Source organism: Homo sapiens, chromosome 7 (genome assembly GCF_000001405.40).
Source record: "Homo sapiens chromosome 7, GRCh38.p14 Primary Assembly".
In the NCBI taxonomy this organism is placed as follows: Eukaryota; Metazoa; Chordata; class Mammalia; order Primates; family Hominidae; genus Homo; species Homo sapiens.
The window spans coordinates 122,126,098-122,147,758 of record NC_000007.14 but is presented as its reverse complement, the minus strand read 5'-3'; the positions used below and the strand labels follow the sequence as shown (position 1 = coordinate 122,147,758).

The following is a 21,661-nucleotide window of genomic DNA, read 5'->3' as shown; positions in this document are numbered from 1 at the left end:
CAATCATTTGCAGTGGGATTCACAGTGACCAGTCATACGATTCATTCATTTCAACAAGTAGTTGCTGAAAACATTTTGTGTTGAATATTCTCCTTTGAACCCTCTAGAATTTCTGTCCCTTTCTGCACCTGCTCTGCCCCCAGAATGGGAGGTGATCTTTTTGGACTTCACTAACAATCTGGCTCTATTTATGTCCAAATAGTAGAAGCCATCAGCAGGAGATGAAGGGGCAGGAGGAGAGTGAAGTAAGATTATTCCTTCCCTATGGAAGAACAGGGGTCTGCAAACTGTAGCCCAGAGGCCCTATCTGCCCTGCAGCCTACTTTTGTAAATTAAGTTTTATCAAAACACAGCCACACATATCCATTTAAATATGGCCTATAGCTGCCTTTTACATTCCAGCCAGCAGAGTTGAGTAGTCATGACATGACAGAGATGGTATGATCTGTGAAGCCTAAAATATTTATTTTCTGGCCCTTTACAGAAAAAAGTTTGTTGACCCCTGCCTTAGGTAGGTTCCTCTTCAGGTAGGATTAATCTTTTTTTGTTTGTTTTTGAGATGGAGTCTCACTCTTGTCACCCAGGCTGGAATGCAGTGGTGTCATCTCGGCTTACTGCAACCTCCTCCTCCCGGGTGCAAGCGATTCTCCTGCCTCAGCCTCCCAAGTAGCTGGGATTACGGGCCCTTGCCACCATGCCTGGCTAATTTTTGTATTTTTAGTAGAGACAGGGTTTCACCATGTTGGCCAGGCTGGTCTCAAACTCCTGACCTCAGGTGATCTGCCCACCTTGGCATTCCAAAGTGCTGGGATTACAGGCATGAGCCACTGTGCCCGGCCGGCAGGATTAATCTTTAGGCAGCTTTATTCCTGTCACAAACCACTACTGTTGGTTGAATGGCACTCTCTACAGCTACAGCTACAGCTACACTACAGGTAGAACTATTCCTGAGTTCTGGTAATTATTTCTTTCCCTGGCCCTGTTTAGGCCTACGAGTGATTGTCAGTGTTGCTAGTCCCAGGGACTACATGGCACATATACTGCCACTTTCCTTTATCCCTGCATACACTCAGTCCTTTTGTGTCTCCTAATTTACCCAGTTGGATTGTGCCACCTATTTCCTGCTAAGACCCCAACTGACTTATTACACGCATAGCATCGTACTAGAAGCAATAAATAAATAGAAAAGAAAAGAAAAGAGGAAGTCCACGTACATATTCTTATTTTATGGTGGTGATGACAGGTGAGCTGAGCAATGTGGATAAGGTAAGTATGAATAACTGTGATAAAAGGAAGAATGTGATAAGTACAATAAGAGAGGCCAATACACAAGGGAGAAGGGAAACAATCACATGTGGTTGAAATATTCAGGAAAGTTTTCATTATTTAAGTGGCATTTGAGCTGAACCCCAAAGGGCTGGTTAGTTTTAGAAAGGTGAATATTTTTGTAAATTAGAATTACAGATAAGTCTACAACATGAGGTATTTGGAGGAAAATAAATAATGATTTCCAGTTTCTTCAGTGAGACAATTAACAGGGCACTTTGGCCATTATCTCATTTTGTTCTCATGACTCCACGAAGTAGTGGCTATTATTAACCCATTAACAGATAATGGAGCACAGGCTTTTTTTGAAAACTAAGTAACTTGCCCATGATTTACAACTCAAAGGAGAAGAGTAAGGATTCTTACATTCTTACCCAGATGCTTAATCCTTAGGAAGATAGCAAGGCATAAATTGTGTTTCAGTGGTGGTTTCAGGCTGGTTCTGCTGCAGAAATAAAGCCAAGGTCATTGATTTTGGCCACATCTGAAGCAACTAACATTATGTGAAGAACGTTGGGCTAATGTTCCACAAGTACTGGGTAGTCTCTGAGGCTTTTTGCTTAGGCCAATGAGACAATTGGAGTTGTATGCTTAAAAAAATATGGTCTACGTTATATATAAAAAGGGGTTTGAAGTAGGGTGATAGTAGTGGGGTTTTTAAAGGACAGTGTCAACACCAAGGGTAAGGCTGAGGGGCCAGAGGAAGAACTGAAGTGACCGTGGCTTTTTAAGTCTGGATAGGTGGTGAGTAGGAAGGCAGTGATATTAGTAACAGAGCTGGTGAGCACAAAAGGGAAGGCTTTATTTTATTTTATTTTTTGAGACAGGGTCTTACTCTGTCACCCAGACTACAGTGCAGTGGCATGATCATGGCTCACTGCAGCCTCAACATCCTGCGGCTCAAGTGATCCTTCCACCTTAGCCTCCTAAGTAGTTGGGACCACAGGTATGTGCCACTACACCTGGCTTTTTAAAATTTTATTTATTTTTATTATTTTTATTTTTAGTAGACACAGGTCTTGCTACGTTGCCCAGGTTAGTCTTAAACTCCTGGGCTCAAGTGATTCTCCAGCCTCAGTCTCCCAAAGTGCTGAGATTACAGGTGTGAACCACTACACAGCCTTTGGAAGACTTTCCAAGAATGATAAGGGATCCGATTTTGGAAATGTGAAGCTGAAGATACAGAAGAAAATTCCAACTCTACTTACAGATAAAATTCTAATTTGGGGTTGGGCACAGTGGCTAACACCTGTAATCCCAGTGCTTTGGGAGGACGAGGTGGGAGGATAGCTTGAGGCTAGGAGTTCCAGACCAGTGTCCTGGTCAACACAGCGAGACCCCATGTCTACCACAAATAAATAAATAAATAATTTTCTCTGCAATTGGAGATATGAGTGGAGTCTCAAGAACGTTCTGGCTATAGATTGTTGACATAGGAGTTCAGTAGCTAAATACATCTATGGCAGGTATAAGAAGAGTAAGTGGTGGAGAAAGTTGTAAAAACAGGAGGGAAGATTAACTTCTGACCGTTGACGCCTTGGGGAATCACAGCTGGGCTTCAGACGATTCTTCAGTTCCTAGTGCTGGGGCTAGTGTCTATGAAATACGTTTTCCCCCTCCCTCCAGGCCTCCTAGGTAGTTAGGACTTTTCAATAACATTGGACATTGCCATATGCACATGAACACACTCAGTTTTAATTTCTCAGATTCTCCGCTTGCTGGCTTCTAAAACTGTTGTAAGAACTGTTATCTGGCTTCACAGGGTTGTGACAAGGCGGTGAAATGCTTTGAAAAGTGTCTATAGCTAAACAAACGTGAGGTACCGGCGCTCGCAACTTTTCCCCAGGAGATGTGCACCTCTATTTAGAGCGTAATGCCCAGACTATTTTCGTTGCTTTCCGTCCCCGCCCGCCTTCTGCCACGGACAGTTACAAACCTGGTCGATAATTATCCTGGGAGAACTCGACGTCCCAGCTAAGAACGCAGGTCAGAGATCAGAGATCAGAGACAGAAGGATCTTGGGGAGGAGCAGGGGCCGGGCATGACGTAGCAACTGGCAGCGCCGCCGATTGGCAGATGAGAAGGTTGTTCCCTCAGGGCGGCTGCTGATTGGCTACGGGAGGCAGAGGCGTGACGTCCTCAGAAGTTGAGCAAACACCTCCTACTTCCCGGCCTTCCATCCCAGTTTCTTCTAGGAATTCGGAGCCTCCCCTGCAGCGACTCGGAAGATTCGAGGCGGCGGGGGACAAGTCGGCGCCCCAGAGCGGACGAGGTGAGGAGAGGAGAGGTCCCCGCGGAGAGCTGAGCAGACGCGCGGGTGGGCTCAGCCTGTGAGATGCGGTGGAGATAGCGGGCCGGGCTCGGGCTGTCGCTGGGAGGGGCCCGCGAGCCTGGCCTTCGGGTCCCGGCGCCGCGAGGCGACCCCGGCCGGGCCGAGAGAGGGAGAAGGCGGCGAGCATTCGGGCCTCCCTGCGAGGAATGGAGGGAGAGCGGAAACGCAGAGAGTTTCACTGCGAGGAAGGGAGGGAGAGCGGTCAGCGCAGCTCCAGCATTTCTAAGTAGAAAGGCGAGGGATTGCAATTCGGATTTCTTTTCTTTCTTTTTTGGCGGACAGTGGTGGTGCTGTGGCTGGGGAATAAAGAACTGATGAAGCTGAGGAAACAACGGCTTGTTAATTTGTGGACGGCGTGCTTAGAGGGGACGGCTGGCTGAGGGGGCGGTGGATGGAGATTTCGGGGTGGTTCTTTCCCCCTTCCCTCCCCACGCCCAGCTTAGCCAAACTGATCACAAACTTCTCTCCTTGTCCATCTTGGGCTGCCCACTCTCCGAGACACAGACCCATTCTCCAGCAAGGATCGGAGATGGGTGGAAGTTGGGCGCCTTGCAAGTCTGGGTTTCCTGAACTCTTCAGCCCCTGCGGGACTATGCAGCCCATTGTGAGCGCTCGCGCGGGACGGGGCGCGGGGAGAAGCAGTTTACCCACCCTCCTCGGTTGAATGGGGCTGAATGTCTGTCTATCCTGACAGCTTCAGAAGAAGAAATGTGCTTTTCAGACATTGATTTCAGGGGAATGGGGGTGGGGGGAGCGGAAGAGAGAGAGAGAAAGAGCGCTCGAGCGCGAGAGAGAATGAATTAGTTCAGTAACTTGAACAAGGATTAACATTTTTTGATGTTGTGGGTTATCAGTGGGGAAGGTGCAGCTGTGAGATGTAGTTATACACAGGACGGAATGGTCCTTGACTGAAGCTGCGGCTTTCCAATACTGTATTAAAAAAAATCCCAAAACACTGATGGCACTTTGGTGTTTCTGGGTTTGTCTGTTTTGTCCCCTGCACTCCCCTCTTCTTTTTTTCCCATGAAGATGAGTGAATCTAGGGCTACATGACTTGACTGTGTAACCTGGTGGCCATTCTGCAAAATGAGTTAGGTGGACAAAAATTGAAGCCAATTTACCTGAATCATTTTCCCACTCTTCAGATAATCATATTTGTTATCAGTTTCACTTGTTATTGATGATGGCGTGATCAGAACTTTGGTTTATTTGTCATTGAATTTTTTTTCTCACTAGTCGTTTAACAGACCTTGGTTCGGAATTTTGGAAATGATCTTTGGTGTTTAAGAAGCCACCATTTAACAAAACATTTTCATTTTTTTCATATATTCTTTTATTAATTTTCTCATAGAAATAACATTACAAACAGTGGTAAGTTTTCTTGGGAAGGCTACAAAAGATTCTATGCAATTCATGAAATCATGGAAACAAACATTTGGAATGGAAAATAACCCCAAAACATTATTACCACATTCATCTGATCTAAGGTGTCATCTATTGTAAGATGCATCCCTATTTCACTGATGCTAAAATGTGTAAAAAAATTGTCTTAAATTTGATGAAATACAACATTAAAATGGTAATTTATTTATCTTGAACATGCATGCCTGAAGTTTGAAGTTGAAGAGAGGGCTTATTGGGCTCTAATTATTTTTTTTCCAAAATAATGTAAGGGTGGGGGATTAATATGGAGCCATCGTGAAGGTCTTACTACAGTGTGACAGAGGAAAGAAATGTGAGTCTACTGTTAGCGGCGTGGTTGTGCTCGCTTTTGAGGAGTAGGCAAGCCTGGAGGCTTTTTCTTTTCTTAAAATTTATTGTTTATGACACACAGCAATGCTCAGCACTTTATGCATATTAGCTCAATTAAACGTCTTAAGAGCCCTAAGAGGTAGAGGTTAATATGATTCTCATTTTGCGCATGATGCACAGACAGGTTAAGTTGCCAGCCAAGGTCACAGAGTAAGTTTGGCCGCTGAGGAACCCAGGAGAGAAACCAGTATTCCTTTGAGGTATCCATCTTCTGTTGCAAGCTCTTGGTTCCTGGTCCATGCTATTAATGCAGGTAGCTTAGGTGAATGTCCACTCTTTCTTGATTGTGTTTTTGGTATTTTGTTTCCCTGTTTGGTGTACTTTAGCTAGAAATTCATAAGTCAGAGTGCCTATTTATGTTCTACATTTCTAATGTTTTTGTAATTCTCAGTGTCCAGTTACTACTATGCTTAATAGAATCAGAATATCAGAGCCTGAAAGGGACTTTAGTATTATATTTTTGTCTGGGTAAGGAAACTGAAGTCAAGAGGAGGAACCCTACATCTAGTTATGTGTCCCAGCTCCCATGTCTAAGTTTTCCCACTATACTGTACTATATTTCACGACATTTGTTGATCTATGAGATCTTGGAAGAGAATCAAGTTTTTTTTTTTTTTTTTTTTTTTTTTTGCAGGGTTAGGGGGATGTGAGTCTCTTATTAATGTGTCTATTTTATCTGTTTGTTTGTTTGTTTGTTTTCTTGCTGCATAGGTCTTTATAATGTTTATTGAATTTGCTTTTTCATTTATTCATTCTTTCTTAAAACACTTGCTGTTTTCCCATGTGCCAGTCATTGGGAATACAGAGATGAGTAAAACACAACTCATACACATTTGCAGTTTAGCAAAGAGACAGACAAGTAAGCAGATAAGCATTTTGGACTAGACTCCGATTTAGAACTAACTTTGTATTCCATTTCAATGAAGCTAAAATTATAAGCTAGAGACCAGGAGAAATATGTGTCATGTTTATGGATGACTTTGAGTAGGTGATGGGCTGGAGAAAATATGAAAATTCTCAGACCAGATTAGTTAACACTAATAGACCTCCTCCCCCAAAGTCTACCACTTTCTTCTTAATCCAGTAAAGTATTTTATAGAGGGTTTAACATGGAAGCATTAAAAGAATGTACCCACGCACAGGAAGTCAAAGTATGACCAGTGTTAATGCAAGCCCAAGCCTAGTTCTAGCAAGCCTTGAAATTGGGAGGGATTTGGATTAGTTCTAGGCCATCATCTGGTGCTGTGTTAATTCTGGAACTCTTTTGAACCTCTCCAAAAAATATTATGGTTTGGATACTTAGTGTAGGCCAAGACTCATAGCCATAGAGCTGCCATACTTATTTACAGACACCAGTGCTTCTTGGGAAACCATGGATTTTAATATATACTTGTATTTTTTTTTTTTTTTTAGTTACTTGGAAGGGTGAATATAAATAATTAGCGCTGTTCATCCTTGAACTTATTTTCTTCATCTAAAGACTACATTACCTCATTCTTAGTCTCTCAATATTTAATCACAATATATGCCTGATTATTGCAAATAATTTGTCATTCAGAAATCCCCCGTGTGATTTGATAGTTTTGGTTTGAGTCATTGAATTATGCTGTAGTGAAATTATTTTAAATATCTAAAATAGATGGACAAAGAGCACGTTCCTAACTGTGGGGATTAAAGTTGGAACATTTGGCCTTAATTTCTTCAAAAATGAATGTGTGATCCTTCATACATATCCCAAAAGAAGTAACAGAAATTAAGAGGTGCAATGCTTAGTTCATTCTTTTTTTTTTTTTTTTTTTTTTTGAGACTGAGTCTCGCTCTGTCGCCCAGGCTGGAGTGCAGTGGTACGAACTCGGCTCACTGCAAGCTCCGCCTCCCGGGTTCCACGCCATTCTCCAGCCTCAGTCTCCCGAGTAGCTGGGACTACAGGCGCCCGCCACCGACCCTGGCTAATTTTTTGTATTTTTAGTAGAGACGGGGTTTCACCGTGTCAGCCAGGACGGTCTCGACCTCCTGACCTCGTGATCCGCCTGCCTCAGCCTCCCAAAGTGCTGGGATTACAGGTGTGAGCCACCGCACCCAGCCGCTTAGTTCATTCTTAAGCTCTTGTAATGCTTGTGCATTGTTTTGCTTAGGTAGGTGATCTATAAGCTTAAAAAGTATTCTGATTGGGTTGGTGCTATGGAAAGGGTTGAAGAGACTTAAAGAATTTTAGCTATTTGATGGAAGAGTAAAAAGCTCTATGAAAATCTCAGCTCTCTTCATCTACCCCGTTCCCTTATAAAAACTGCAAAAATTAAATACATCATTTGTTTGTTTGTTTGTTTGTTTGTTTGTTTGAGACAGTCTCACTTTGTTGTCCAGGTGGGAGTGTAATGGCATGATCTTCACTTACTGCAAACTTCGCCTCCTGGGCTCAAGTGATTTTCATGCTTCAGCCTCCCGAGTAGCTGGGACTACCAGCATGCGCCACCACGCCCAGTTAATTTTTGTATTTTTAGTAGAGATGGGGTTTTGCATGTTGCCTAGGCTGGTCTCGAACTCCTCAGGTGATCTGCCCACCCTGGCCTCCCAAAGTGCTGGCATTATAGGCATAAGCCACTGTGCTTGGCCAAACACATCATTTTAAGGCATAAATATTGCCTGAAAAGTAGCAGAGAGAAAAATCTTGATCGAGTTACATTTAAAAAGTTATACCAACGAGAACAGACTTACTGTGACATCCATTATGATAAGTCATAAAAATACATAATAGTGGCTTGGAAAATGCTTTCTATAAAACAGAAAAAAATCCCCTATTTCTATGGGCCTCACTATTCTCATTTGTAATACTAGATTTTAGATTACATTCTATCAGTCCCACTTTGACTCTAATATTTGGATATAATCAATAATTAATAATTCACTATCAGATATTGATCAGCACCATTTAATTTGATAAAACTAATCCTGAACATGGGCAGGGATTGGATTACTGCTTCTTTATATCTTTACCAAGTGCATCATGCCGTGCATATCTTAAGTAGCCCCCAAATATTTTTTTAATTAAAGAGAATCAAAAGCATTTGTCCCATATTCCGTGTACAAAAGATTTTATTTTGATAACTCTATCAAGAGACTTTCTGGATTTCATTATAATTTAAATATTAGAAAATATTTGTGCTATAAGCAAATGACTAGCTGTTTTTATATTAATATGTGTAATTGTACAAAAGACCACTTTGCTCACACTCTGAAAGGACCTTTCTAACCACACATGAGATTCTCTGTCCTGAGAGTGGCTTTTCTTAAATATAATATTTTATAAATACATTTTACAGAATCTGCTTTGCTTTGGTTACTCCATGTGATTTAGAATGATGGTGTACTCAGTGACCATAGGACAGCTCATGGTCATTGAAAGAAAATGGGATGTGTATGGAGTGCCGAGCTCTGTCTCTGTGTCCTTTTTTTTCTCTCTCTCTCTATCTGTCTCTGTCATTTTCCTTTCCCTTTTCTGGAAAATAATAAAAAAATACAAAGAACATTCAAGCATGTTCTTTCTTCTGATTCTCATGTTTTTGTTGCAAAGTTAGCAAATTAAAAGATTAAGTCTTGCCACCTTGAGAGATGGAAAGATAAGACAGTATCATAGAGTATGTTCTCCTATTGCTACTGGGCAACCTTCACTATTATCTTCCTGTCTCAGTACATAGTAGTTCCTTCTTATCCAAGTTTTCGCTTTCCATGGTTTCAGTTACCCACTGTCAATCTGGTCTGAAAATAGGTGAATAAAGTACACTAAGATATTGTGAGAGAGAAAGAGAGAGTGAGAGAGACCACATTTACATAACTTTTATTACAGTATATTGTCATAATTATTCTATTTTATTATTGTTGCTAGTCTCTTACAGTGCCCAATTTATAAATTAAACTATATCATAGGTATGTATGTATAGGAAAAAACATAGTATATATAGGGTTTGGGACTATCAGAGATTTCAAGCATCCACTGGGCTTCTTGGAATGTATTACCCACAGATAAACAGGGTCTACTGTATCTCGCTGCAATTCACTATAATACTCCCATGACTTTTAGAGACATTTCAAATTCCTCATCAATTTTAGGTAAATAAAAATGTATACCTTAGTGGTGTTCTGTTTTACAAAAACAGAGAAGAAATCTTTTAAGTTTCATTTTTATATTTGAAATGTTAACCTTCATGTAACAAAGGGAAGACTGTTACAATTCATCAGAGGAAGGGTCTTGTACCCCACCCTTGCCTGTGTGACACTTCTCTTTCTCTATTTTCCTCCTCTTTGTTCTTTCTAGCTCTTTTTTTCCCCCTCTCTGCCTCCTGCTTTTCTACATCCTCCTTGCTTGTGTTACAAGCTGTTATCAGCACCCGACATTGTCGGGTAACCTCACTAGAGCTGGTGGTGAGTAAACCCTGATCTTCCCTCCTTCCTTCATTGAAGGCATTCCAGAAATATACATTGAATTTACTTCCTGATATTCTTGAAAAATACCACAAAATCCAGGACAGAAAAAGCTAAAGCAGCCTCCGTTGGCATTTCCATGAAATACTAGACACCTGCAGTGCAATTCAGAAATTCTCACTATTTCCTATTTCTTGAAGACCTTAGAAGCAAATGAACTGTGGATCTTGAAAGTTCTATGCTGAGACCAAGTTTTAAGGTTCAAGCAGTAACTAGCAGTTATACTATAATCAAACCATTTTTTTTCTAAGCACCCAGAAATCTAGAATTTATCTTGGCAGGTACTCAGGAATGATTTTCAGTATAAAGCAGGAAAAGGGGTCAAGAGAGGCACGGCATGCTACGGGGAGAACTGTTAATTCACTGTGACTGTTGAAGGCAAAGCCATATGGATCTGATTTCTTTCTGAAACAAGAGTTGGCTGGAGTTAACAGCATGTGTTGGATCTATATGGTGTGAATCTGTAGGCTTTGGCAAAGAAGAGAAAATTCCAGGTGTTAAACATTAAACTAGGAATCCTGCTTCTGCTTAAAAGCAACAGATCCTATATGATTCCAGTTCAGTTTCTTCATCTATAAAATGGGGATATGTATCTACTTAATAAGATTTTTGCAAGGAGGAAATAAGATGATATCCATAAAGTGCTCAGCATAGAGCTTGGCATGTGATGCTTAATCAATGGTAACTACTGTTACATTTGTTTAAATAATGAAAGTTACAGAAATTATTATTTAAGCCTTCCATGCAAAAAGTGAAAGTGAAAGTAGCTTCCCAAATAAACTGAAGCTCAGTCCCAGGCACTTCTGTCTTTTTCCCTAGTCTTCCAAGATAGTTGGCCTTTGCAAGTATATGTGTGTATGTTACAAGTGACTGTCTGTATTTGTGTCTGTGTGTGTGTCTACTGCTTTCCCGCCCTATCCCAGACAAAGAAGGTGGTGGGAGAAGGAGCAGGGATTATTACTGAGTGAGGGATGAGTGAGGTTAACATTCAAGCTTGGGCTAGAGGGGAGGGATTAAATTATCTCCACATGTTCCTCCTGATGGAGTCAAGAATTTCAACTCATAATAAAAGTTACAGGGGTATGTAGTCACCTGTGAATTCATGAAACACAGCCCCTGCTGGGAAGATGGGATGGTTTCTGGACATTTGTGTATGTTCAAAGGAATCACTATCTTTGGAATTGGTTTTATTAGAAACTGAGGGATTCAGGTTCTAGTTTTTCTTTTGGCTTCGAGAAGACTGAATGTTATGGGTTTGGGATTGAGTTTAATGCAATCTATTTTAAAAAACAGAAGATATGAATAAACAAAAAATAGATGCAGTATATAACAGTCGTTTACTGAAATGTTGATAATCTATTTTGCATGCATATTTTGCCCTGAATAAAAGCCTAAACTCCTAATCATCAGCAGTTTCTCTTGCTGTGTGCAGCTTTTTTTCTTCTTGGCCATCTTCCTAAAGCCTTCTTAGCTGGACTCTTCGCTGTTTGGTCTGTTGTCTGATTCTGTTGTAAAGTGTCCTATAAATTTACTGTCTAGGTAGCAAGTAGTTGTTTGCCCCCAGGAAATGTACTTGTATGCTTAATTGTTTGGTCAAGCCTTCCCCATCCATCAAGCTGGTGCTCTTCCAAGATTGCAGTCTGATGTAAAATAAATGTGTTTCATGCAAGCTTTTCTATATGTTGTTAGCGGTGATGGGTAGAAAATTTCTGGAAGGTATAAAAATCATTGAATCCTTATATTTTGCTGCCAAGTTTACATGGAAAACTAAGTTTTATCATTCAAATGATCCAGCAAATCATCATCTGAAATGACATTTGGCTACAAAATTGAAGTTGGATAGAATCCAATTGAAGTTGGGTAGAATACTGTTAAGCCTGGATATTTATGCTTTAAAAATTTACATAAGATTTATTCTGCATAGGAATAAATGAACCTGTATATAAAAATTAGGAGCATCTGGGTGAAAATAAAATGTTTACTAGTGTCACTTTAATTTCTTTAATTTGGTTTAAAGTATTATTTCCACCGTATTCTACGCTTCCTCCAGCTGAGGGAAAAAATAACTACTTTTAGTAGATGATATCTTTCAATCATTCTCTCCTTCATATGCAGCCCTGGTTCTGGGACTAGGGGGACAAGACACTTCTTGTACCAAGAGAATGCTGCTTTGAGTAGAGTTTATTCATGAGAATATACCTTGCCTGCCACATTGAGAGAAGCCCGTTACATTCATCATAGTAAGCCTTTAGTAACTATTTCTTGATTGACTGAATGAGTGGAATTACACAATCTTCTCACTTGAATAGCAGTTGGAAAACTGGTTGAGGCAGGTCGGGGTTTAATACAACAGCAGACGGCCATGTATGGAGAGAAAACCCAGGAAGAGGAACTGGCATGTTTAGAGCAACAAAGGTGAACAGTGAAGGTGAGCTGGACTCTAGGAAGCAGAGTGATTTAACTCTGCTTCTTAATCTTCTAACACCTCTGGTTAAAGAATAGGTTTGTTTGGTCGATTGGTTTTCTTTTTTTTTTTTTAATACTTTAAGTTCTAGGGTACATGTGCACGACGTGCAGGTTTGTTACAGATGTATACATGTGCCATGTTGGTGTGCTGCACCCGTTAACTCGTCATTTACATTAGGTGTATCTCCTAATGCTATCCCTCACCCCTCCCCGCACCCCATGACAGGCCCCAGTGTGTGATGTTCCCCACCCTGTGTCCAAGTGTTCCCATTGTTCAATTCCCACCTGTGAGTGAGAACATAAGGTGTTTGGTGTTCTGTCCTTGTGATAGTTTGCTCAGAATGATGGTTTCCAGCTTCATCCATGTCCCTACAAAGGACATGAACTCATCCTTTTTTATGGCTGCATAGTATTCCATGGTGTATATGTGCCACATTTTCTTAATCCAGTCTATCACTGATGGACATTTGGGTTGGTTCCAAGTCTTTGCTATTGTGAATAGTGCCACAATAAATATACATGTGCATGTGTCTTTATAGCAGCATGATTTCTAATCCTTTGGGTATATACCAGTAATGAGATGGCTGGGTCAAATGGTATTTCTAGTTCTAGATCCTTGAGGAATCGCCACATTGTCTTCCACAATGGTTGAACTAGTTTACACAGGTTGATTGGTTTTCTTAAATTTCCAATCTGTTGAGGACCAATACTTTTGTAAAATCCGGTAACAATAAATTACTAGAAAAAATGATCTTGTGGCTTGACATGGTGGATCACCCCTGTAATCCCAGTAATTTGTTATAAATTAAAAAAAAGAACTTAGCCAGGTGGGTGGTTGTGCACCTGTAGTCCTAGCTACTAGGGAGGCTGAGGCTGGAGGATCACTTGAGCCCAGACTGCAGTAAGCAATGATCTCACCACTGCATTTTAGCATTGACAGAGTGAGACTTCATGTCTAAAAATAAATAAATAAATATGATCATGTGATATTAAGGCTTCTAAATGCTTACTTTCTATTTATGTACACATCTAATTGTGAACCAGTTTTTTTGTTTTTTGTTTTTTGTTTTAAAAAAACAGTTCAGTGCAGTTCACTGACTGACACTAGGGCACACTGAGAAACACTTGTTTTGGGAATGGTCAGAGATGAACTGGAAAGAGGTTGGCACTAAATTGTGAAGAATCTTGTATACCATTATAAGGATTTCAAACTTTACGCCATCAAAATTTAGACCAATCTGAAAGTCTTGCTCTTTATTATTTTCCTGGATTTGCATTGTAGATTAATTTGTTTAAAACTTTTGTGCCGAATAGATGTTTGATAAAATGTGTATTTAAAAAGCTATTTTAGCTTAGCAGTTATTGGATGGTGTCACACACGTTGCTCTATACTTTTTAAAATTTTGCAGTTAAATAATCTTGTTTTTGAAAACTTGGCTTTAAAGGAACACTTGACATCCCAGTTTTCCCTTCCCTCTTCTCTACCTTGTGTCTGTTTTCATAAGAGCGGGTTGTATTTTACCTCAGATTTCTCAGGAGACCAGAACTGATCTGCCAGCCTTGCTGCCTTTTGTTGCTCTGCTCTTTACATTGTCTTTACAGTCACCAGGTGTCAAGATGCTGCAAGTACATAGGACTGGACTGGGCAGGCTGGGGGTCAGCCTCTCCAAGGGTCTTCACCACAAAGCTGTGTTGGCCGTCCGGAGGGAGGATGTGAACGCCTGGGAGAGAAGGGCCCCGCTAGCTCCCAAGCACATCAAAGGCATCACCAATCTGGGATACAAGGTCTTGATACAGCCTTCGAATCGGCGGGCCATTCATGATAAGGTGAGTATTTCCAATATTTTTATGTGAGAATAAAATGAACCTGCATATGAAAATTAAGGAGCATCTGAGTGAAAATAAAATGTTTGCTAGTGTCACTTTGATTTCTTTACTTTGATTAAAAGTATTATTTTCACCCTATGCTTACTCCAGCTGAGGAATAAAAGAACTTACTTTTAGGAGATGTTATTTTTCAATCATTCTCTCCTTCATGTACAGCCCTGGTTCTGGGACTAGGGGGATAAGACTCCATTCTTGCACCCAGAGAATGCTCCTTTGAGAATGTACCTTGCCTGCCACTCTGAGAGAAGCCTGTCATGTTCATCATTCCACTTGCTCTTCAAAATAATATTATGGTATAGGTTTGACTCATTCCTATTTTAGCAATATACATATATATGTATACTTTTCCTTTCCTGAGCCATTTTAAAGTAGATCACAGACATCATAACTCATTACTATTAAATGCTCCAATGTGCATCTCCTCAGAATAAGCCATGTTTTCTACATAACCACAATATGACTTTCATACCTAAGAAATTAATAATTCATAATATCATCTTATATAGTCTATGTTCAGATTCCCCATTGCCTCAAATGCCTTTTATTTTAATTGAGGCTTAATGAAGCTTTATTGCATTTTATTATTGTGTGTCTTTAGTTCTTTCAATCTAGAACAGCACATCCCTTTCTGATTTTGTTTCAATGATATTGACATTGACATGGACTCTAGACCCCAAGACTTACAGAGTGTCCTGCTACTGGGCACGAATAATCTGGTTGTTTTCTCGTGAATAGATTATATTCTAATTATATTCTATATGTTATATTCATGCCAAAAATGTTTGGCATGAATACAACATAAGTGATATATGTTCTTCCCATGGCATCACATCAAAGGCACAAAACATCTGGTCGTCCCATGGTTGGCAATGTGTGGTCACTTGGTTGAGGTGGTTACAGTGAGAGCTCTTCATTGTTAAAGTCTATATCACCCTTTGTAATTACTGAGTCATCTGTGGTATGGTATTTTAAGATCTGTGATGTTCCTATTCCTCAAATAACTTTACAACTAATCATGTCAGCCTCCATTGATAATCTTTGCCTGGATCAGTTTTTACATGGAGACTTGTGAAGTGATGCTTTTCTAATTTTATCACTCCCCTAAGTTTGTTTGCTGACATTCTTCTTTAGAAAAGAGGTTTTCTTTTCTTTCTCTTCCACTCCTCCACTTTTTTGAGTTGTGAACTGTTCTATTACAGTGCATTGAACTGTTTACCAAACTGTGAATTCTGTAATTCAGTGTTTAAACAATTTCTTTAAAAAACTTTCTTATCATTGCATTTAAAGCCTTGTTATGAGGAGTTTATATATACATCTTCATGTTGACAAGATGAATCTTAGGATGTTGCTTAAAAGATGAGTTGTGAACTGTTTTATTACAGTGAACTGAATTGTTTATCAAAGTGTGGACTCAAATTTGCTATTGCATTATGCTTCTTTAATTTTTGCTTTTTTGAGTATATTTTGGAAGCATGGACCTTTTTCATTCAATCCATTTACCATTATTCTTTTTAATGTCTGAATTATCCCAAAATTGGTTAGTGTGAGTCCTTCCAAGGGGGCTTCTCTGTCCTTTGGATGTGAATCCATTTACCTTTGAGCTTTCTTGTTTCTTAGGATAACAAATTGTCCTAGTCTCACCTTGTACCTTTCCTGCCCCACATCAGGAAATTAATAATTTCACCAAGAAGACTTGTTTTCTTTTATTATATAGAGACCAAGATCTGGTATCTGATGTTAAGCATGTTTATTGTTACTGAGATACTGTTGCTCTTAGGCTCTATTAGTGTACAGAGTTTAGAAATATACACAAACAGTTGCCCACACATATATATATATATTATTTAATCATGAGTTAATACTGATACTAAAAGACCTCCAGAGGAAAAATTAATGTCCAGGAAAATTAAAATTTAACATTGCACAACTTTTTACCTTTAAAATTTTATATTTGCATCTGTTTTCTCCAACAGTAAAAATCTTAATTCTTTAATATTAATGCATATTGTTTGCTTTATCCTATGATATGTATAAATAGTGTCAGGATCACAATACTATTATTACAACTAATAGTAAGCCCACTAAATGAAGTTTACTATTTCTTTGATTTTTTTTTTTTGCCTTTAGAATATATCTGACAATGAATATTCAGAGTGTTGTATTAAAAAACTTATTTGAATTTTTTTTGGTGTGGTTTCGTCATCAATCTAATATCCATCTGGATTTATATATTATTGTTTCTATTCAGTTTTAATGTTTGCTTTCCCATTTTTGATTTAATTTTGTTTTTCAAAGTAGAACATTTACAAATTCCAGAAATGAAGTCATGTTTTCATTTTAATCCCCTACATCCAATTCTCACCCACCCCAAAGAGGTTACTTTTGTTTCTGATCTATCATTGTTTTTTCTTTTTTTTTTTTTTGCAAAAATAAACACCTGTGTGTGTATTTACATATTTATTTCCCTTTTGTTCTTATACAGAAGGCTGTCTACTATATACACTCTTTTAACCTTGCTTTCTTTCTTTAGTAACAACATATCTTGAACATTGCTCTATGTAAGTTCTTAGAGAGATTTCATTTCATTTCATGGCTGTGTGATAAGTACTCCATTGTACAGATTTACCATGGTTTATTTACCAATCTACTACAAATGAGAAAATGGACTGTTTTTGAAGAAACCAGGGAGAAATTGTATATTCATCCTTTAACTATCTCTGTTATTCATCTCTACTTTCCTTTGAGGTAGATTCCTAACTAAACTTATCTTTTGTTCAATTGCTCTTTTAATTCTGCTTGGGTTATACCTCTTTATTTAAAAATCAGATATGTCTGTCTGTTGCTTCCATGTACTAGTTATGCAATCTCAATTAAGTTTGTAAGCCTCAGGTTTCCCATTGATTGAATGAGGATTATAATTGTACTTACCTCATGAGAGTTGTATGAAATTTAAATGAGATAATTCATGCAAAGAGCTTAGCAAAGTACATGTAATTTATTAATACATATCAATGATTGTTACTTATTACCCAATAAGTCTTGTATTAGCCATGATGACATTCAACCTACATTTCCAAATCGGTTTACTCGTATGTTGTAAATGTCTCTTTACTTCTCTCTTTGTATTTTTATATATGCCTTCAATGCCTCTTACTGATATTACCATCTTGTGTTTGCCATCTTCATTTCTCTAAATTTCAGGTAGCCTTTCAGATTAATTTAAATTCTCATATTTCTTTGGTATCCTACCTTTCAGATTAATTTAATTTTCATATTTTTTTGATCATCCTACTTAGGAATTATCTCAATATCAGTTAAAGTAGCATATCACTTAGATACTGCTGATCATGTTTTGTATTTTTCATTTACTCCAATCCAGAGTACTTTTTACTATATTTTGTGAGCTCCTTTATACAAGGGATCTTGACAATCTTTCCTTGTATCTTAGCATCTCATCTCTAGCACGGACTAATGTACAGTAAGGATAGTAATAAATACTAACTGGGTAAACACTGAAAAATAAATGTATAATTATGTCTTATCTTTTAAAAATACAACTAATAAATCACAATTTGGCATTTAATATTTCAGTGTACTGTTGGTACAAAATATACATTTCACAAGTATGCTTAAGTCACATGTGCTAGTGCATATGACCAAATTATAAACTCTTCTTAAACATACATATATATATATATGCTGTGTTTTCTAATTGTTTAATGCTGTAAGAGTTGACATGATAGATTTATCTTTAGCCAACAAGTACAAACATTACAAGTAGTTGTTCTATTATTTGTTCTAATTCATACAGATTTTATTCCTTCAAAAGATTTGTTGTGCCTTTGCTACACATTTTGCTCAAGAAAACATGGATATTACAAATCAGGATAATAACCTTTAATCATAATTACAATTTCAGGACTATGTCAAAGCTGGTGGCATTCTTCAGGAGGATATTTCTGAAGCTTGTCTAATTTTAGGAGTTAAAAGACCTCCAGAGGAAAAATTAATGTCCAGGAAGACTTATGCATTTTTCTCCCACACAATAAAAGCTCAGGAGGCCAATATGGGCTTGTTGGATGAGATTCTAAAACAGGTAATTAGTGATTAATATTTATAAATATTAATGTAGAAAAATAATATTTTTTACTTTTAACCCCCAAATGGAGTTTTAGTCTTCTTTTCTTCTTTAGTTTAAGAGAAACATTGCATTCCTTTTATATTCTGAAATGGAAAGAATGATAAAAGCTCTTACCCTAAACAATTTACCAATTTATAAGGTCAATTGGCCATATACTATCAAATAGAATTTTAGAACTGAAAATAACCTCAGGGATCATATAATCTACTACCTTGTTTTTCAGATGGGATTTTTTTTTGAGATGGAGTCTTGCTCTGTCATCCAGGCTGGAGTGCAGTGGCACAATCTTGGCTCACTGCAACCTCCGCCTCCCAGGTTCAGGTGATTCTCCTGCCTCAGCCTCCTGAGGAGCTGGGACTACAGGCGCCAGCCAACACGCCCAGCTAATTTTTTGTATTTTTAGTAGAGATGGGGTTTCACTGTGTTAGCCAGGATCGTCTCAATCTCCTGACCTCGTGATCCGCCCACCTCAGCCTTCCAAAGTGCTGGGATTACAGGCATGAGCCACCGTGCCTGGCTGAGACAATTTTTACATTTATTCACATTCATAAGGGAAAATGCATTTTTGAGATAGAAATACTATGAAAAAAACTAGCAGCTGTTTAAAACACAAGATATTCATTTAACAAATATCTATTCAGTGCTGATGCTGTGTCTGACACTGTTTGTTCCAAGGAAAGAGCCAAAGAGTAAAGTATCTTTATTTTCACAAAGCTTACATTCTAGTGGGAGGAGACAGATAATCAATGAATAAGACATCTAATATCCACTTGGGAATATGTGTGATGAAGATAAATATAATATTGAAGGAGAAAAGGAGTCCTGGGCACTGGGAGGTGATGATGCTATTTTAAGTAGGATGGTCAGGGAGGACCCCATTGTGAAAGTGGCATTGAGCAACAATCTAAAGGAGGTGAAGGACCGAGCCAATACATCTGAAATGAGTCTTTTAAGCAGACAGATTCGAGATTGAGTGTGGGGTTAGAGTACACCATGTTCAGAAATGCTTATTTTGTCTCTTGTGTCAACAATGGTTGGAGGTGGGAGGAGGAGAGCAACATTACTAAGAAGGCTGCTAACCTAGGCTGGTCTAGACTGCAAGTCACAAGTGATGGTGGCCTGCACCTGGAAGAAATGGTGGAAGAGAAAGTTGTGAAATGTGGACAAATCTTGGATATGTTTTAGAGGTGGATCCTACAGGATTCACTGATGACATAAAGGTGGAATATGAAAAAAGGAGAGCAGTCAGGAATGACTCCAGGTTTTGGCCTGAGCTACTTGAAGCAATTGTCATGGAATGACATGATGCCATTACAAGAGAAAAAGGCTTCGGTGGGCAAATCAAGAGTTGAGTTTAGGGTCTGCCAAGTTTAATATTCTATTAGACATTCAAAGGGATAATCTAAGAGGGCTGTTGGATATGAGTCTGAAGCTCAGGAGGGCGGCTTCTCCTGACATACATTTTGTAGTTGTGAGAGACCAGGTGGTGTCTAGAGCCACGAGACTGGATGAGCCTAGGAAGGGAGTATAGAAAAAGAAGTCTAAGGTCCACATCTTCCAGATGTTAGAGCTAGGATCCGAGATTAGGGCAGAGGATTGGAGGGTTCATAAACAGTAAAAGCAATGGAAAATACCTATTATATAGGAGTGTAAAATACTTCCAATTGATTCCAAATACAGTAGACCAGGGTGACAGTTAATTTGTAGTATTTCTAAAGAATAAGTTCAAAAGTAATTAATGGAAATAATACTATAGGAAGAATGTTCCACTTTAAGCAAATAAAGTAATTATAAATTACTTTAGGAACTTTTTTTGTTATTTTAACTTTTGTTCATTATAAGAAAATTAAAAAAAACTGACCTAACAGGGCTGCTTTTGGGCAGCATTTTGTAACCAATTACTTGGAGTTGGAAGAATGATAAACATTCTTAAATTCATGAACATAATAAAAATTATATGATCTTTGAGGAAATAAAATTACTGTTTAAAATAGTGTATAATTACAATACACTAATATGTTTTAAGCATGAATTACTAATGCTTTCCTGAGAGAGGAAAGGTTTTCAAGGAAAGAGGAAGAATATGTTTTTAGTGAAGGCAAGGAAGATAAATGACATAAAGGTGGAATATGAGAAAAGGAGAGGAGTCAGGAATCACTCCAGGTTTTATCTTGAGCTACTCGAAGGAATCCTGTACTACTTTTAATAGGAAGGTTACCTGTAAAAGGAAGGAGAGGGAAAAAGAAAAAGAGAGGAGAAGGAGGAGGAGAGAGAAAAATATCTGTGCTTGGACTTGAGAGAGAGTGTTATTTCCCAGGTTGAAAGAGAGTGTTATTTTCCAGGTAGAAGAGACCTGAGTGTACTTAGAATGGTTGAGAAAGAATGTAAAGATGGATGATGCAAGAAAGAGGTAATAGTTCAAGAAGAGTGGTCTTGGAGGACATGAGAGAAGCTGGGATCTAGGTCACAGAGATTCGTCTCAAAATGGATCTGTTTTATTTGACCAGAAGGAAGGATGTAAGGATGAGAGGGGCTTTAGACATGTTTATAGATGGTGCTGGGTGGGTCGGGGCAGAAAGGTAAAGGAAATTCTACCTTTATTATTTCATTGCTTACCATCAAGGGGGGTATAGCACCTGCTACAAACATTTTTTCATTTCTAATTACAAGCCTACCATTGGTTTGCTACCTGGCGTTTTCTAAATATTTCATGGTATACCTGATGGTAGCTTCTGTTAGCAAGTTAAGGTGTATTTCAGAGGAAAAAATGTGAAATATTTACTTGCTCATATATGTCTTTACTTGTTAAAATTAAGCTTAATGGGTCCAGTTGAAATTTTTTTATCCTCTTTTCAGGAAATTCGCCTTATTGATTATGAGAAAATGGTGGATCATAGAGGAGTACGGGTAGTGGCATTTGGACAGTGGGCTGGTGTGGCAGGTAAGTATGCCAGGGCTTACATCACCCACTTCCTAAATTGGCTTGGGGAATAACTGTGAGTTTTCTCTTTTCTGCGGCAAGGGGATAGGAGTGTTTATTTCCATGGAAAAAATTAAAATGAAGGTATGCTGAAGGATGATGAATACAAGTGGAATAAAGTATGAAGATAAATGGTTAAAAATATTTTATTGCAAAAATTCAAAGGAAAAAGCAGGGAGAAGGATAACAACTACAAACAAGCTCTGATTTTTAGGTAGTTCCTTTCGAAAGGCTGGAA

At 38.6% G+C, this 21,661-nt stretch overlaps 1 protein-coding gene and 1 long non-coding RNA gene across 9 annotated transcripts in view, besides 3 other annotated features; one reads left to right on the top strand and one right to left on the bottom strand.

Annotated features, from left to right (window-relative positions):
- The window catches only part of LOC102724527 (uncharacterized), a 74,864-nt gene extending 71,519 nt beyond the window's left edge, over positions 1-3,345 (bottom strand). For all 3 annotated transcript variants that reach the window (XR_007060498.1, XR_007060497.1, XR_007060500.1), the window contains exon 1: positions 3,263-3,345. This is a non-coding gene — a long non-coding RNA (uncharacterized LOC102724527). The remainder of the gene's footprint in view (positions 1-3,262) is intronic.
- Positions 3,130-3,179: an enhancer, noted in NCBI's record as "active region_26563". NCBI's record gives its function as "activates an Ori minimal core promoter by ATAC-STARR-seq in GM12878 lymphoblastoid cells {active_cell/tissue: GM12878}" and the evidence as "EXISTENCE:reporter gene assay evidence [ECO:0000049][PMID:35858748]".
- AASS (aminoadipate-semialdehyde synthase) overlaps positions 3,510-21,661 on the top strand; it is a 70,701-nt gene continuing 52,549 nt past the window's right edge. For all 6 annotated transcript variants that reach the window (XR_007059980.1, XR_927326.3, XM_011515725.3 and 3 more), the window contains exons 1-4: positions 3,510-3,598; positions 14,018-14,242; positions 18,222-18,398; positions 21,300-21,384. Coding sequence is in view for 4 of the 6 variants with exons in the window: in XM_011515725.3 (XP_011514027.1) it covers positions 14,033-14,242; positions 18,222-18,398; positions 21,300-21,384 (472 nt within the window). In the remaining 2 variants the exon portion in view is untranslated. The remainder of the gene's footprint in view (positions 3,599-14,017; positions 14,243-18,221; positions 18,399-21,299; positions 21,385-21,661) is intronic.
- Positions 3,680-3,879: a silencer, noted in NCBI's record as "silent region_18577". NCBI's record gives its function as "represses an Ori minimal core promoter by ATAC-STARR-seq in GM12878 lymphoblastoid cells {active_cell/tissue: GM12878}" and the evidence as "EXISTENCE:reporter gene assay evidence [ECO:0000049][PMID:35858748]".
- Positions 4,181-4,686: an enhancer, noted in NCBI's record as "NANOG-H3K27ac-H3K4me1 hESC enhancer chr7:121783127-121783632 (GRCh37/hg19 assembly coordinates)". NCBI's record gives its function as "activates a minimal SCP1, AML or CMV promoter by ChIP-STARR-seq in primed H9 embryonic stem cells {active_cell/tissue: H9 hESC(primed)}" and the evidence as "EXISTENCE:reporter gene assay evidence [ECO:0000049][PMID:30033119]".